Genomic DNA, 16,069 nt, shown 5'->3' with positions numbered 1-16,069 from the left:
CTCAGGCTCTGCCCAGGATGGGCTCTGCCCGTGCCCTGGCTTACAGCAGGCTCCCTACTCCCTCCATCCCTACCATGGGCAGGCTCTCACCTATTTGTGGGCCGGGCCTCCCGCTGGGCTTTTCGGGAGCCAAAGAGGTGTCCCCACTTGATGCCTCCAGGTGAAGGCTCTGAGGCCCCTTCCTCATTTTCTGCTGGCGAGGCAGCGGGCCCTTCCCTCTCCCGACTGCGCCTCAGCTCGGCCAGCACAGAGTCAGGGGGGCTCCCCATCCAGAAGGGCCAGCCCCTTTCCCGGCCCAGGGCCTCCTCAGAGGCAGGGCAGGCCTCAGCCCCCTCCACTACTCCCTCTCGGGGTGGTGGAGCCTGGGGAGGTCCCCCACCTCCTGCCCCTTTCTTTTTCTCGCTGCTGCTGTTGCTGCTACCACGAGGGAACCTGGAACCCTCAATGGAGCCATCGATGTAGACCTGGGAGCTCTGCATGAGCTGGTACCACCAGCCGGCCTGCCCACCTCGGGCCCACCTGGCACGCCCTGAGCCCCCGGCTGCCTCTGCCACCTCTTCTGTCTCCTCTTCTTCCTCTTCCTCTTCTCCACCTTCTGAGGCACCCACACCCTTCACCCGCTCCCCTTGGGCTGCCCTGTCCACGTCTCCAGGGCCCTCCTGGCCCCGGGCCCGGGCCAGCTGCAGCGTGGAGTGGGCAGACAGCAGCAGGTCCTGGGACACCCGCAGCAGTTCCTTGTGCTGCCGCTGCTGCTGCCCACTTTGCAGCAGCCGGTGCTGGAACAGCAAGTCGAGGCTGAAGGGCAGCAGGGCCAGGGGCTGTAGCAGCAGCAGCAGCTCTTCAAAGAGGCCGGGACACACGGTATGAGCTGCACTCAGGAAGCCCCAGGGCTGGTAGTGGGTCTGGATGATGTCTAGGGGAAAAGAGAGAGGGACTGATCCACACAGAGAACCAGAGCCTGGCCCAAGTGGGACTTTGAAAGACAGTCTGGGCAGAGCTGCTGCAGACAGCGGTGCAGGCTGTGCACTAGTCAACTTGCATGTACTAAGTATAAACGCTGCTGCCCACAGCTGTGCAGTGCCTAAACTCTCCAACCCCAGGCGGTGGCCCTGAGTTTAGAGGAGTGAGATGCAGGGATTCCTGGCCACCCTAACTCCCAGATTGCTAGAGTATCCTGCTGGCTCCAAGGTTTTTTGTTTTGTTTTTTGAGACTGAGTCTCACTCTGTTGCCCAAGCTGGAGTGCAGTGGCATGATCTCGGCTCACTGCAACCTCTGCCTCTCAGGTTCAAGCAATTCTCGTGCCTCAGCCTCCCGAGTAGCTGGGACTACAGGCATGCGCCACCACAGCCGGCTAATTTTTGAATTTTTAGTAGAGACGGGGTTTCACCATGTTGCCCAGGCTAGTCTCAAACTCTTGACCTCAGGTGACCCACGTGCCTCGGCCTCCCAAAGTGCTGGGATTACAGGCATGAGCCACCATGCCTGGCCCAAGGTTTTAACTCAAGCAGAGGCTGGGGAAGGCCTTGGGTGGAAGCCTGAGGCTCTGAGGATGAACGCTTGTGTGGTCCCCCTCCCCACCTCCAGCAATGAAAAGACAGCTCTTCCTTCCTCTTTTGTGCCTCTGAATTCTGACCCATTGAGTTTGACCTGCAGGGTTCTAGGCATTACCTTCGTGGTTATAGAGGTGATTAAACCAGAACTCCAGGGACCGGATGCTGTAGGGAGACAGGTGAAGAGAGTTGAGTCTTGTGTGAATACAGCCAGATAAGGAGACAGATCCAGGGGGTCAGGCACAGGAAGAATAGGTGAACACGCCCTTCCATGGCACGATTCATTTCACCTAATTCCAGAAAGTCAGTGGGGATGTGTGGAGGGAGATGGACATGTGATTTACAAGCCAATTGTTTCCTCCTGGAGTGGAGTCAGCCTGCAGTAGACCTAAGAAATCAAGGCAGCTACTGTGTGAAAGTACAGGCAGCTCAGGGCCAAAGGGAATGGCCTGGGCCCATACCTGAGAAAGCATGTTACTAGGATGTGGGTCCCAAGGTGGACTTAGGGTCAAGCAGGATTTGGAAGTAGTGCTGGAATGGAGAGGATCAGGGTTTACAAGGTCCAGAGAAATTAAGAAACCCAACTAATTTCCAAATAAGCCAGATTACAGATTTGTAAAAGCAGACCACGTTGGTGACCAGTGACAGAGTCATGGGCACAGTGGGGAGGCAGTGACCTACTGAGAGGCCATAGCGGGCTGAGGGGACCCTCCAGATCCACCCTTTCTGTCTGTCCAGGGCGTTGTTTCCTTGGTGCAGGCAGAGCCCGGGGGTGGGGGGCAGGGCAAGTTGTTTAGGGGATCTTGCTGCTCTGTGCACTCACTTGAGCAGGCCGAGGATGAAGGCGTTGAAGCGCATGGTATGACTGGTGAGCTCTGGGAATTGGCTGACTTTGTTGTAGAGGCCATGCAGGACCTTGGTGGATGGGCCTGGGAGGAAGCCAGGGTTGCAGGTCACATGACCAATTTCTGGAGCCCTAAATTCAGCCCTGGGTCCCCGTCTTGGCACCCAGCACCTACCTAGCTGTGTGGAAGCCTCAACCACACTCCATGGCATGTTCTTACGCTGCCCGATGATGACGTCCAGTACAAAGGCCTTGAGCCCATCCTCCAGCACGGCGCGGACGGCAGGGCACAAGTACTTCAGAACCAGGTGGCCCACATTGGGGCTCACAGAACTGTTTCCCAGCTTTGCCTGTAGGTGTGGTAGGGAAGTGCAGGAAACCCCCTCAGGCCTGACTGTGGTCCTCTCGTAGCAGGCCCTCATGGTTCCCCTCTTGCCGTCCCCATTCCTAAGTACCCAACCCTGGGCTCTAAATGCAAGACAGCAAGGGAAGGTGGTAGCGCGGGACAGGTGAGGGCTTGCAGGCAGAGCTCAGCTCTCCACATTTCCTTGCCTACCTTCACCCCGGGATCCCGGCTTGTGCCAAAATGAGCCACAATGAGGTCCACAGCGATGTTAACAGCTTTTACCAGCCCTGCAGGGAAGAATGTGATGTGACAGGTCCCTGAGCAAGTCCTTAACCAACTCAGCTGGGGCTGAAACCTCAGGTTTCCTCAGGGAAAGGGCTCCCACACTTACTCCGTCTCCACATCTGCACATGGGTCTTATCAAAACATTCAGGCCTGGCCCTTTTCTGGTTCTGCCCAGTTCTTAAGCTCTTCCTGTCTTTACTTCCCAGCCTGGAGCTACCTCAGTGATGCCACTGTCAAGCCTCTCAATGTCCTTACCTCTCAGCCCTTATTCCAATCCTGGGTCAGGCCAACTATCGGTTTTCTCCACTCTGAGAAACCGGGCCACTGACCTGAAGAAAACCCAAGTCCCTCACCCCAGTGCCAGTGCCAGACAAGGGCGGTTCTTTGACACATGGCTTGTCAGCACTCTCTGCCATACCCTCAAGTTGCCATGTGAAATCGACACCCCTCCTCTCAAGCCCTTGGTTCTGCTTCAGAGAACAGAGTTCCCTAGTTATAAACTCCTTTAACTTCCCTCTACCTCCAAAATCCATAACAATCTCATATGTACACCCCTCACTCCCCTGCCCACTTGCATCCCCTTCGCGTCCTGGAGGAAGGTGGCCGTTTCCCTTCTTGCCCGGGTTCTTTCTCCCTGAGCTCTGATTCTCCCCTTCTGCCTTTGCAAGGAACTTCAGCTCTCTCTTCACAGGCTCATCTTCAGCCCACAATTATGCTCAGTTCTCTCCATCTCCCTAAAAATGTTCTTAGTTCAGTGGTCACTTATTTGCTAAATAGTGTGGGTCTTGTCAATCTTCATCTTACTAGATGTCACCAACACTCTTACCCAAGCTGCTGGGCCCTCTAGTACCTTCACCCGCCCCCTCCAAGAGCACTGAGGCATTTTTTGATGACATGGAAGCCTCCTCATGAGACTTTGCTCACTGCAGGAAGGGACCGGAGCGTGACTCTGAAAGCCTCTGATGAATGACCCTTGCTCACTCACATGCACTCATGATACACAGCACACAGCTTCCTCCTCTGGCCCCAGAGCCTGTGTGCTCCAACACCTTCCCAGCACCTGGAGATTTGTTTGTGGTTTTCTTTTGAAAAGGAGTTTTCAGTTTTGTTGCCCAGGCTGGAGTGCAATGGTGTGATCTTGGCTCACTGCAACCTCCACCTCCTGGGTTCAAGTAATTCTCCTGCCTCAGCCTCCCGAGTAGCTGGGATTACACGCGCCCACCACAACACCCAGCTAATTTTTTTTTGTGTTTTTAGTAGAGATGGGGTTTCACCATGTTGGCCAGGCTGGCCTCGAACTCCTGACCTCATGATCCACCTGCCTTGGCCTCCCAAAGTGCTGGGATTACAGGCGTGAGCCACTGGGCCCAGCCAGCACTTAGAGGTTTCAGACTGGCTAGGTAGTAGGGCAAGTGTGAGGAGGTAGTGACAGCAGAGTCCCTGGCCTGAGCTGGGGGTTGTATGCACCTTTTTTCTGAAGCAGGTCAATGGAAATGGCCTCTGAGCTGCCATCTGGGGACAGACAAAACTCAGCTGGAGGCTTCTCCGTCAAGGAAAAGGGGTCCTGGAAGTCAGGGCAGGTCAGTGGTAACGGCTTCACTGCTTGGCCTGGAAAGAAGAGAAAAATCAATCCTGAGCAACTCTCAGTGCAGGAGTTCCAGGCCAGTTCAGTGCCTCGTACCGTCTGAGACACGTTCCTTTGGGACTGACCCCTTCTCTAGCCCTTTCCAGCCATGGCAGAGCCTGCCCCGGGTGTACTGGGGACCCTGCTCACACACCATTCAGCCGGCAGTTCAGATGGCTGGCAGCACTGAGGGAGCCAGGGAACTCAAAGATAGGGTTTCTTCGGGCCAGCCGAGCTTCTTGTGATCTTCGGTCTAGGCTCCCTGACAAACCAGGTGGCCCTAGTGGGTTCTTCCTCCTGTATTCCCGCCACTTGAGGGCTTGAGGGGATAGGTGGTTGGCTGGAAGCAGAACAGATTAGCAGAAAGACAAGAGTTGGCAGGAGACAGCGAGACAGAGTTTCACATCCACCCAGTGGGCCCATATGAAACACTAGATTATCTGTGGATATTATCTACAGATGCTGAGGGAGGGATGCAGACATCCTAACCTCTGGCCCCAGGTGAGAGTGTAAGCAACCACTCAAAGGGGAGGTGGTGGAAGTGCTTGCGTGAGGTGGCGGGTTGGGTAGGGAGATGCTGGAGCTCGTACCATTACTGGGCCTGGTGGCCATGCTGCCCTCACCACCTCCCCGGGCCAGGCTCTCTGCTCGGCTGAGGCCAGATCGCCAGGAGCCCAGAGGCGGCAAGCTTCCTGTTCCATGGAGCCGGTACTCAGTCAAGGTCAGTATCTTCTGATCCTCCTTCTGCGGCTGCTGGGAGGTGGCAGGCCGGACAGCAGAAGGACAGGAGTGGCTCCATGGGGGCAGGCTTTCTGTGGCTGTGGGCTGCTCTGGGGGAGGGGAGCACGAAGTGGAGGCAGAAGAGTCAGTGCTGGGCCCAAAGGGGCCAACACTCCGGATGGGGGAGTAGCTGCCCAGGGGCGATGGCCGAGAGGTCTCTGGCTCAGACCCAGCTTTCCTGGCACCTCTGCCAGTGGCTCGGGGAGTGGATGCCTGCGGTTCCCCTGAGGGAGCTGGGACTGAGACTTGAGCAGCAGGGGCAGCCAGTGGGGCAGGCTGCTGTGTACGGCTGCAGCCTGAGAGGCTGTAGAGCTGGGAAAGGCTGTGGAGGGCCCGGGCCTTGGCCAGCTGCTTGGGGAAGTGGTGCTGGAACACGAAGGGCTGGATGGGCAGTGTGGTTGGCCTCTGTTCCTTGCTGTAGCGAAGGACTGGTCGGCTCTCGGTGCCACCCCCTGTAGCAAAGGGATGGAGAAGAAATCAGTAGACAGACACTGAAACCCATATGAGAGAAAACCCAGAAGCAGAGATGGGAGAGGGGAGAGGGGCAGGGACCTGGCTGGCAGGAATTGAATGGGGTAGAAGTTCGTGGAATGGGACACTGCTCCCCTCTTTTGTAAAACGCTTCCTATTGCTTTTATGGTGCTGGACTGTCTTGTACCTCTCTGCTGTTCAGTCCCTCTTCATTTTCTTGACTCCAAAGGTGAGTGTATCTTAAGGCTCAACTCTTGCATCTCACCTTACACTTTATTTCTTGAGAAGTTTTGAGTTCAGACTTCTACGGGATGACTCCCAAACCCACAGCTTTAGCCTGGACCTTCCTCTTCATCTCCAGATCATTCTGCTTTATAGTTCTGCTTTCACTTAAAATGTGCTATAACCGCTTATCCATCACCTTTCTCCTTTTTTCCGATGACTTCCATTTCTATCAATGGCAGAACCATTTTCTTTGTTTCTAAGTCTTGGAGTCACAGTCACACACATTTTCAGTGATGAAAATGTTTCAGATGTTACTGACTTCAAGCTTTTGCTCATTATCCCATCTCCAATCATGCCAGCACATTTCATTCCTGAGCATATCGAACCATAGTAAGATATTTCTTTACTTGCAGCCTACCTGTTATCTGTATCTACCCCCACTCCCACTCTTTTCACGATCCTGGCATTGGAACCTCAGAGTCCACATTTGCTCCCCCTGAACGGAGGTATGTTCCCCAAGGCTGGGCCTCTCCTGTTCTTTCAGGCAGTCTTCAGGTCAATGTCCTTCAAAACGTGGTGCTCAGAACTAAACACAAAACTCCAGGACACTGGAGTGGGACAGTGGATGGACTGCACTTCCAACAAAACACTGTAGATCTCCGAATAAACGTAAGATGGCGCTATAAGCACGCACCCGGCCTAAAGCCCTGGTGAAAGCTCACCAGCAGTGGGGCTCAGTAGCTCTGCGAGGCGGGAATTAGTTCTCTTACTTGACATATTAGGAAATGTGAAATGTAGACAGATTAAAGCACTTGCTCAAGGTCAAACAACTAGGAAGTGGCAGAGCTAGAATTCTGCCTAACCCAGAGTCTGATTTCAGAGCCACTGTTCTTTTTACCACATTGTACTACATGTGAAATTGTATCAGGCCAGGTTTTCCTATCCCTCATCTTATTTACATCAAAGAGTCAGAGGGGATGGGGACCACAATCCCATTAGGGAGGTGCTTCTGAATCACTCCCAGGGGACACTTTCAAGCTCCACCCTCCTGCTATACCCAGTCACTGCTTACACAGACTCTGCATTCTCCCTGGCCCACTGTGCTCCAGCCACACTTCCCCGTCCTTAAACACACCAGATGCATGAACATCTCCGGGCCTTTTGCACCTGCTTTTCTTTCTGTCTGAATCTTCTCACCATTCAGGCATCAGCTCAAATATCACCCCCTCAATAAGACCTTCTCTGACTACGTCAGCCCCTCTGGCAAGTTGCTCTCTATCCCATTACCCTGTTTCATTTTCTTTTCAGCATTGTTGAACTTTCCAGCAATTAAAAGTTGTCCTTTTAATGTGTTTATTGTCCATTACTGCTCCTAAGAGCTCCAGAAAAGTGGGGATTTTATATTGTTCACTGCTGGATCCATAATGCCTGGAACAGAGGCTGGCACACAGTATGGAGTGAAAAACCATCTGTTAAATGAGGGAATCTCCACGGTCACTCTTGATTCAAGCCAGTCTCACTACAACCAGAAGCTTCTTACATACACCAACTAGCTTCTGAGATACAAATTTTATCTCCCAGAATAAAGTCTAATCTTCTCAGTGAGCTAGTTGCCCACACCTGCTACGAGCTAGGCTGCTCTCCCTTCAGACTTCCACACCTGCCCCCACTGACCCTACTCTTCCCAGTCCATCCCTGTCATGAAGCCCACTGCTTTTCCCATCAGGAATGTGTCCTTCCTTTCCGCCTATTTAAGTATCAGTTTTCAAGGCTGAGCTGACTCTGGCTATCGGATTAGGTCATCCCAACCACAGCATTATTATACCCCCTATACAAAGTATGTCTGAATTAGACTGCTTATTCCTACCCTTTTAAAACTCCTCTCTGCTAAGTTCCCAGGATACAGACTGAGGCAGAGGAATAAGATCAGGTAAGAAGGGGGCCCCTGTGGGGAATGGGTCTTAGTTCTACCCTCAGGGAATACACAGAATAAGTTTTCTCACTTTTCTATGTGACATTCATTAAGAAAACCAGAGACAGAGACCGTATTCACCCGAGTCAGTTTTTCTCTAGGTTAAATAGCCCCAGTCCCCCAGTTCCTCAGTTCCTTCTTAAGATGTGGTACCCAGAACTCAATGGAATACCACTGAGCACTCACTGGTTCGGAGGAGTGAGAGACTATCCACTCTTTCTTTCTGGAGTCTATGAATGAATCCAGTCATCTTAACTTTTTGGAAGCTCTACCAACTGCTGACTCAATCTGAGTTTGCAATCAAATATCCCAAATCAACTCAAGTGCAGGTTACATATCAAACTTCACATTGGTCTCTGCTTTATTAGTTTTGTTCTTTCAAGATTCAGTAAGATCCCTTTAAATCTTGATTCTGCTGCTCAGTATCTCAAAGAGCCGTCTCAGCTGCCTTTTTTATTTTTATTTTTTAATTTACTTTTTTCTGAGACAGAGTCTCACTTTGTCACCCATGCTGGAGTGCAGTGGCGTGATCTCAGCTTACTGCAACTTCCGCCTTCCAGGTTCAAGCGATTATTGTGCCTCAGCCTCCCGGGTAGATGGGACTACAGGCGTGCGCCACCATGCCTAGCTAATTTTTGTATTTTTAGTAGAGATGGGGTTTCTCCATGTTGGCCAGGCTGGTCTCGAACTCCTGGCCTCAAATGATTTCCCCACCTCAGCCTCCCAAAGTGCTGGGATTACAGGCATGAGCCACCACACCTGGCCTACTTTAATTTTTTTTAGAGACAGGATCTCACTTTTTGCCCAGGCTGGGATGCAGTGGTGCAATCATAGCTCACTGTGCCTCAAACTCCTGGGCTCAGGCGATCCTCCTGCCTCAGCCTCCCGAGTAGCTAGGACTACAGGCATGTGCCATCACTCCCAGCTGTTTTTAAATTTTTTTTTCTGTAGACACAGGGTCTCACTATATTGCCCAGGCTGGTCTCAAACCCCTGGCTTCAAGTGATCCTCCTGCCTCAGCCTCCCAAAGTGCTGGGATTATAGGTGTGAGCCACCATGCCCAGCCGACCTTCTCAGCTTCCTATACTGTCATTCCTAGATTGGATCAACCTGTCCCTTCTTTTGTCATTCAAAGCTTGATGAATTGTCATTCATTTTTGATTTAGAAAAAAGCTGTACAGAATCAAGAGAAGACTGGAGACTTATGGAACAGAGCAGCATGTTGATATGTCTTAATCTGATAGAGAAAACACATCTCTGACCAGGATATTTCTTGCCCTCAGAATGCCAGTCATAGTATCCCACGAGATGCACCCAGCAGACAGACACTGCAGTCTAAGGGAGTGGGTTCAAAGGACCCAGTCAATCCTTGCTGTTTCTGATCCTGCCCCTTCCCTAGAGATCTCCCTCCCATGCCCACCCCAAGGACAGCTCTTCAGTGTATGTTAGGAACATGAAGTCTTCTGATGGACTGTGATCTCCCTGACAGCACAGATATTATTTATGGTTTTAAAACATTTTCTTTTGTGAAGCCAACAGACCCAACCTAAGGCTACAGCACAGCTGTGAGCCTCTGCTATCCCTGCTTTACCTCCCTTTCCTTCTAAACCCTCTGAGATCTGGCTTCCACTCTCACTACTCCTGAATGTTGCCTTCAGGATTCTTCATTATCTTAGGTGATTTCTCTTTAGAACTCTTTTGGTTCAAACTTTTTTTAAACTTTCTCCTCCTTTGGTTCCTGTGACTTCACTCTCTCCTGGTTTTTCTTTTTTTTTGAGACGGACTCTCACTTTGTCACCCAGACTGGAGTGCAGTGGCATAATCTTGGCTCACTGCAACCTCTGCCTCCCAGGTTCAAGCGATTCTCCTGCCTCAGCCTCCCATGTAGCTGGAACTACAGGCACCCGCCACCACACCTAATTTTTGTATTTTTAGTAGAGATGGGGTTTCACCATGTTGGTCAGGCTGGTGAACTCCTGACCTCAGGTGACCCGCGCACCTCGGCCTCCCGAAGTGCTAGGATTACAGGCATGAGCCACCATGCCCGGCCTCTCCTGGTTTTTCTTCTATTGTCCTAATTCTTCTGTCTCTTTTGAGGGTGCTGCTCATCCCTTAAGTCACAGTATCCCCTTCTTCCCTTTATAACTCAACACATTCTCCCTGGATCCTCTCTCAGCCACACACATAGCTTCAGCTACCACTTTTGTTTTTTATTTTTGAGACAGAGTCTCACTCTGTTTCCCAAGCTGGAGTGCAGTGGCATGATCTAGGCTCACTGCAACCTCTGTCTCCTGGGTTCAAGCGATTCTCCTGCCTCGGCCTTCCATGTCGCTGGGATTACAGGCGTGCACCACCACACCCGGCTAATTTTTGTATTTTTAGTAGAGATGGGGTTTCACCATGTTGGCCAGGCTGGTCTTGAACTCCCGAACTCAGGTGATCTGCCTGCCTCAGTCTCCTAAAGTGCTGGGACTATAGGTATGAGTCACCACGCCCAGCAAGTGCCAGCTACCACTTTTATTCCAATGACTTTCCAATCTACACAGTGCTTTCTCCTGACTTCAGGAAGACACCCCTTCCAGTCCATCTTCTACCCAAACAACCAGTGATCCAATTACTTTTTTTTTTTTTTTGAGGTGGAGTTTCGCTCTTGTTGCCCAGGCTGGAGTGCAGTGGCGTGATCTCGGCTCACTGCAATCTCCATCCCAGATTCAAGTGATTCTCCTGCCTCAGCCTCCAGAGTAGCTGGGATTACAGGCATGCGCCACCATGCCTAGCTAATTTTTGTATTATTAGTAGAGATGGGGTTTTACCATGTTGGCCAGGCTGGTCTTGAAAACCTGACCTGAGGTGATCCGCCCGCCTTGGCCTCCCAAAGTGCTGGGATTACAGGTGTAAGCCACTGTGCCCAGCCCAATTACTTTTTTTTTAAACAAGGCCTGAAGGAACAACCAACCAGTGATCTTTCTAAATGCAAATCAAAACATATAATTAAGCAGACAGAAAAACCAAACCAAACAAAAACAAACAAATGCCAAAAGCCATTTCTCTAAAATTTTTCAGTGGTTCCACCTGTGTTCCACTATGGCTTCACCAAATTATATGCAGTTCCTAGAAAGGGTCAAGCTATTCTGTGCCTTTGTGGTTTTGTACAGACAATCCTGTGAGCCTAGAACATTCTTCTTACAAGTCGTCACAAAGCCCAATCCTAATCATCTTTCTAGATTGGGCTTAAATGTAACTGCATTAGCAGTTCCTCCCTGACGTTTCAGTCTGATTTACATACCCCTTTCACTGGCCAGTACGGAACACTGCCATCTCTGCATTTTAATGATCAACTACGTTTTCTGTTTCTGTCCTTAGCTGGAATCCTTGAAAACAGAGTCATCCCTCTCATCTCTCTGTCACTAGCACCACCTTAACACACTGGTATAAAATATTTATTTAAAATGTAACAAAATAAATAGGGAAAGAGCTGGCCTAGGGAGGCCACTGCACTCCAGCCTGGGCGAAAGAGCAAGACTCCGTCTCAAAAAGAAAAAAAAAAAAACTTCACTGACGCCCAGTGTGTGTGTGTTGTTGTTGTTAGACATATCCCTTGGTTGCCCCTTAGGCACTGCAAACTCCTAAAGGTCTGAACCTGAACTTTTCTTCCAGGAAATCTCCTGTGATTACAGCCCCTATCCATGGCCTCATCTTTCCCATCATCCAGGTTCAGAATCAGTCTTCTGAATCCTTCATTTCCCAATATGTCAGCCTCTAAGTCCTGCTGATTTTATCTCCTCAGTGTATTTATTTATTTTTTTTTTTTGAGACAGAATCTCACTCTGTCTGCCCAGGCTGGAGTGCAGTGGTATGATCTCAGCTCAGTGCAACCTCCACCTCCTGGGTTCAAGCAATTCTCCTGCCTCAGCCCCCTGAGTAGCTGGGATTACAGGTGGGTGCTACCACTCCTGGCTAGTTTATTTTTTATTTTAGTAGAGCTGGGGTTTCATTATGTTGGCCAGGCTGGTCTCAAACTCCTGACCTCAAGTGATTCGCCTGGCTTGGCCTCCCAAAGGGCTGGGATCACAGGTGTGAGTCACTGCACCCAGTCTGCTCAGTGTATTTTTGAGTCCTCTGTCTTTCTCCAGTGAGCCTATTCCACTGTAGCTGTGGGTCCTGCCCTGGCCTAGAAGGATAACAGATCTAGGATGTGGAACCTCTAGTGGTATGGATGGGGTGGTCTGGCAGGGACCTGTCAGGGAGGTGGCCATGCATATCCTGCTGGTGAATAGCCACATATTTGCTAACCCTTAGGCTCCTTACCGTCAGCTCTAGCTCTTGCATCCCTCTGGGTATGGCTGTTGGCTGGGCTCCCTGGGAGAGCAGGCCCTGGATCCATCAGCTGAGCCAGGGGGCCTTGCCCAGTAGCTCTGAGGCCAGCAGGAGGCATCTCACTGGAGTGGGGTCCCTGACAGACCTGGGTGGACCAGGGTGGACTTGGGTCTGGGCCAAGTAGGTCCATGCCTGGCCCCAAAGGCATGGGTGGCAGGCTATGGCTACAGCAAGTGCCCTCATCCAGTGGGGCCCCCCGATCTTGCTGGGCTTCTTGGATGGGTGAGAACTCCTGGGAGGAGTCCCCAACACTCACACGAAGTGGGGGCGAGCCAGAGCCTCCAGTTTTCTTCCGGCCCTTGGCCAGCTCGGCAAAGGAGGTGACCCTCCTGGGTGGGGAGCCAGGCCCGGCCATGGCTGCAGGGCCCTCACTCAAGCGCACTGGGCAACTCAACATACGTTCCAGCGAGCCCAGGCGGACAGGAGGGCTGCGCTGCAGGCTGCGATCATAGCTGCGGGAGCGCTGACGTCCAGTGCTGAGGTTGGGGGGTGAAGTATTCGTGTATACTTGTCCCTCAAGCACAGTGGGGCCCACAGCAGCTGCTGCTTGGGTGGAGGAACTCACTGCTTCTTGTTCCTCTGGCTGGACTTCTGGCTTCTGGAATAGGTAATACTCAGAGGGCTGGCTGGGGCCTGGGTCTGGGCCAGGGCCTGGTGGGGGACTTATCTTGGTGTGTTCCTCAGAGCAGCTAGTGATGGAAGAGCCAGCAGGGCTTGGGGATGATTGGGAAGATAGGTCACAGGTGACAAGTTTATAGTAATTTTGTGTGGCCACAACAAGACGGGCCTGGCTTTGGAAGCAGGCTGTGAGGTCAGCCACTGCTGGGCACGGCTCACAGTGTGGGCGGTAGGAGTTGCAGTTGGCATCAAGCTCAGGAGAAGAGGCATGAGGGCAACCATAGCCCCCTTCCCTTCCTCCACTTTCAGGGTGATGGGACTCATAAGACATCTTAGACTCAAATGGGGAGGGCTGCAGATCCAGATAGAAGGCGCCAGGGTCTGAGTGGCTGCAGAAGGAAGAGTCGCTGCAGGACTGTGGGGCAGAGTTGAGATTGGCACGGGGGGTGCCATGCATCTTGTTGTAGAGGGTGCTGAAGGTGACCAGCACACCATCTGAACTGTTGCAGGAGGAGTCGCTCACATAGCCCATGGACTGGTCAGCTGCCTCGGACTGACTGGATGTGCTACTGCAGCGGCAGTGCTGGTCCCCTGAGCCGGAGCATCCAGGGTTCCTTGGGGATTCATCTGAACTGAGCTTCCATTCCTGGTCAAAGGAAAAGCCAGAGGTATCGCTGGCTCCACCCCCACTGCCACTCCCACCAGGTCCCCCACACTCATCCAGCTCCATAGTCTCTGCTTCCAGCTCTGGCCGGCAGCAGTGGCTGGTGCCGCACTGCTGAGTATCCAAGGTCATCACTGGCTCCTGTTCCTGCCCTTCCACCACTCCAGCCCGACTGCGTGTTGTCCCCCATGGCCTGCCCACTCTGGGGCCAGATGGTGGCAGCTGGAAAGAGGATAGATGAAAGTTGGGCTGGCCAGTGCCATGCAGGTGGAAGGACTGCTGGGTGGCACTGTCACCAATGCTGTCATCATACAGGTCACCAAGTCCTGGCTCACCCACACCCTCCTGCAGCAAGAAGGGGTTGTGTCGTTTGGGGGCTCCAGGGCCTCTTCCATCCCGACTCCTACTCTTGGTGCTGTCTATAGACCGTGCAGTTCCTCCTGGAGTAGAGTGCAGGCTGCTGAATAGCAGGGAGTCAGCTTGTCCTAGGTCTTGATCGGGCTGGGTGATGCCCAGCTCAGGTGGGCAGAAGGGATTAGGTCTTGTGCTCCCACCACCTCCACCTGCCCCTCCACAGCACTGCCTGTCTGGGACTTGGCAGTGCACCAGGGGGATGTGATGAACGATGAGGGTCTCTCCAGTCAGCTTTGGGGGACTATCCATTCTGGAAAGTTCGAATAAGGGCTTCAACAGCACCAGACACTGTCCCTGGAGCCCAGTGGGGCAGAACACATTTCATCAGGAGAGCTTGGCACCTGGAGAGAGAGGGAAAGAAAGGGAACCTAATGTCACCTCCCTGGAAGTCAGGGGCATGCCCTTCCCTACATCATTTTCAGATGGAGAAGAGCCCAGGAAGAGAAAAGGCTTGAGTCAAGATGGAGCTTGACCACACAGCCCAATAGGCAGGTGGGGACGTAACCATGCTTTCTGCATTGCACAGGTGCAGCACCTGAGGTCCCCCTTAATTTTAAGGTCACTATGCATCAAATTATGACAAAAGGCCAAGTCCTTCTAATGCCACATATGAAGGTTTGGGCAGTACTTTCCCTTTCTCTTTCAAGGACCCTCTCCTTGGCAGTAAACAATGACCAGTCCTTAGCACAAAAAAACTATGAATAATGACACAATTAAGAAAAAACCATCTAGGATGTTTAAGGCTTAGACACAGCTATAGCACACAAGTTTACAGCCAAGAGGGAAAATCATGAATAATATGAACTCATAGCAATAAGCTATAATTTTGCAAGAAGCATTTTAAAATATACGGTATCATCTGACCAAGTGACTGTTATCTCTGATCCCCTTTCTCGTCCTACAAGCCCCAGAATATTTGTCCCTTTCTGATGACCGTGGGCTAAGTATCCTTACTATCCTCACTACTATACTAGAACTTCTTGAATGCAGACACTGAGTTGGGCATTAGGGTGACTGCAAGTATGACTGATGTCAACCTCTTCCTCCTCAATGGGGGTGGGGGGACCTAGTTTTATGTCTTTTGTATCATTCTAACACATCACACAAGATAAACGTGAAAGGCATAATACATTCTTAACATGCGTCTAGCTCAGGATACAGACATCCTGAAGTGCCCAAATGCTGCCCAGTTTTAGCTTAGAACCTTCACTACTGGGATCCACTAGAAAGTCTTCTCTTCCCAGTTTTACCTCTTATAGGCTAAAGCAAAGTTCTCTCTTGTTCAAGGTCTCCTGGTGCCAAGGACACAGAACCCATCCTGAGCTTCTCTGGTCTCTTGGCTGCACCGTGGCAGTGTGGCCTGCTCAAGTTCTAGTCTCCTGTGTTTCCACGTTCAGGTCGCAACAGTCTTCATTCCCTTCGACTCCTCACATGTAATGTTCCAAAATTCATTCATTTCCTTTCTCTTTTTATTCCTATCATTTCCTTTTCACTCACCCTGAGTCTAAATCCCTCATTGCCTTTCTCTTATTCATCATTTAACTGAATCCTTGACACAATCAATTTCTTAAAATTTAACTCATGTAGACCATAGGGTCATAGCTCGTCATGTGGAATGTGGTAAAGTCTGAGGCAAGTCACATATGCTCAAGGACATGAACAAACAATGCATAAAAAATATGGCTAATAAGTATACGTATAAGGGACAAGGTATTAAAATATAATTGTGTTAAATTTAAGCAGCAATTATTTACAATCTTGCTTCCTCCTCCCCTTTCTGAGAGGAAGGCAGGCTCCTCTGTTGAACTTCCAAGCCTTTGTGTGTTTAATGGGCTAATGGGTAGAGATGTAGAAGGGCAGATATTAAGAGAGTCTGAGCTACAAGATTAAGGGTTACA

At 51.4% G+C, this 16,069-nt stretch overlaps 1 protein-coding gene across 6 annotated transcripts in view; it reads right to left on the bottom strand.

The window, feature by feature from the left end:
• The window catches only part of RUSC2 (RUN and SH3 domain containing 2), a 71,785-nt gene that overhangs the window by 954 nt on the left and 54,762 nt on the right, over positions 1–16,069 (bottom strand). For 4 of the 6 annotated variants that reach the window (XM_047424207.1, NM_014806.5, XM_047424208.1 and 1 more), the window contains 9 exons: positions 12,407–14,512; positions 5,241–5,882; positions 4,805–4,990; positions 4,494–4,634; positions 2,952–3,028; positions 2,571–2,745; positions 2,375–2,480; positions 1,670–1,716; positions 91–913 (listed from right to left, as the gene is read on the bottom strand). In XM_047424207.1, coding sequence (XP_047280163.1) covers positions 91–913; positions 1,670–1,716; positions 2,375–2,480; positions 2,571–2,745; positions 2,952–3,028; positions 4,494–4,634; positions 4,805–4,990; positions 5,241–5,882; positions 12,407–14,420 — 4,211 coding nt within the window. In that variant the 5' untranslated portion in view covers positions 14,421–14,512. The remainder of the gene's footprint in view (positions 1–90; positions 914–1,669; positions 1,717–2,374; positions 2,481–2,570; positions 2,746–2,951; positions 3,029–4,493; positions 4,635–4,804; positions 4,991–5,240; positions 5,883–12,406; positions 14,513–16,069) is intronic. The other 2 variants (NR_052015.4, NM_001330740.2) reach the window with 2 other exon arrangements.

The sequence above is a fragment of the Homo sapiens genome, chromosome 9 (genome assembly GCF_000001405.40).
Source record: "Homo sapiens chromosome 9, GRCh38.p14 Primary Assembly".
Taxonomy (NCBI): domain Eukaryota; kingdom Metazoa; phylum Chordata; class Mammalia; order Primates; family Hominidae; genus Homo; species Homo sapiens.
The sequence above is the reverse complement of the archived record's forward strand: the minus strand, read 5'-3'. Positions and strand labels throughout refer to the sequence as shown.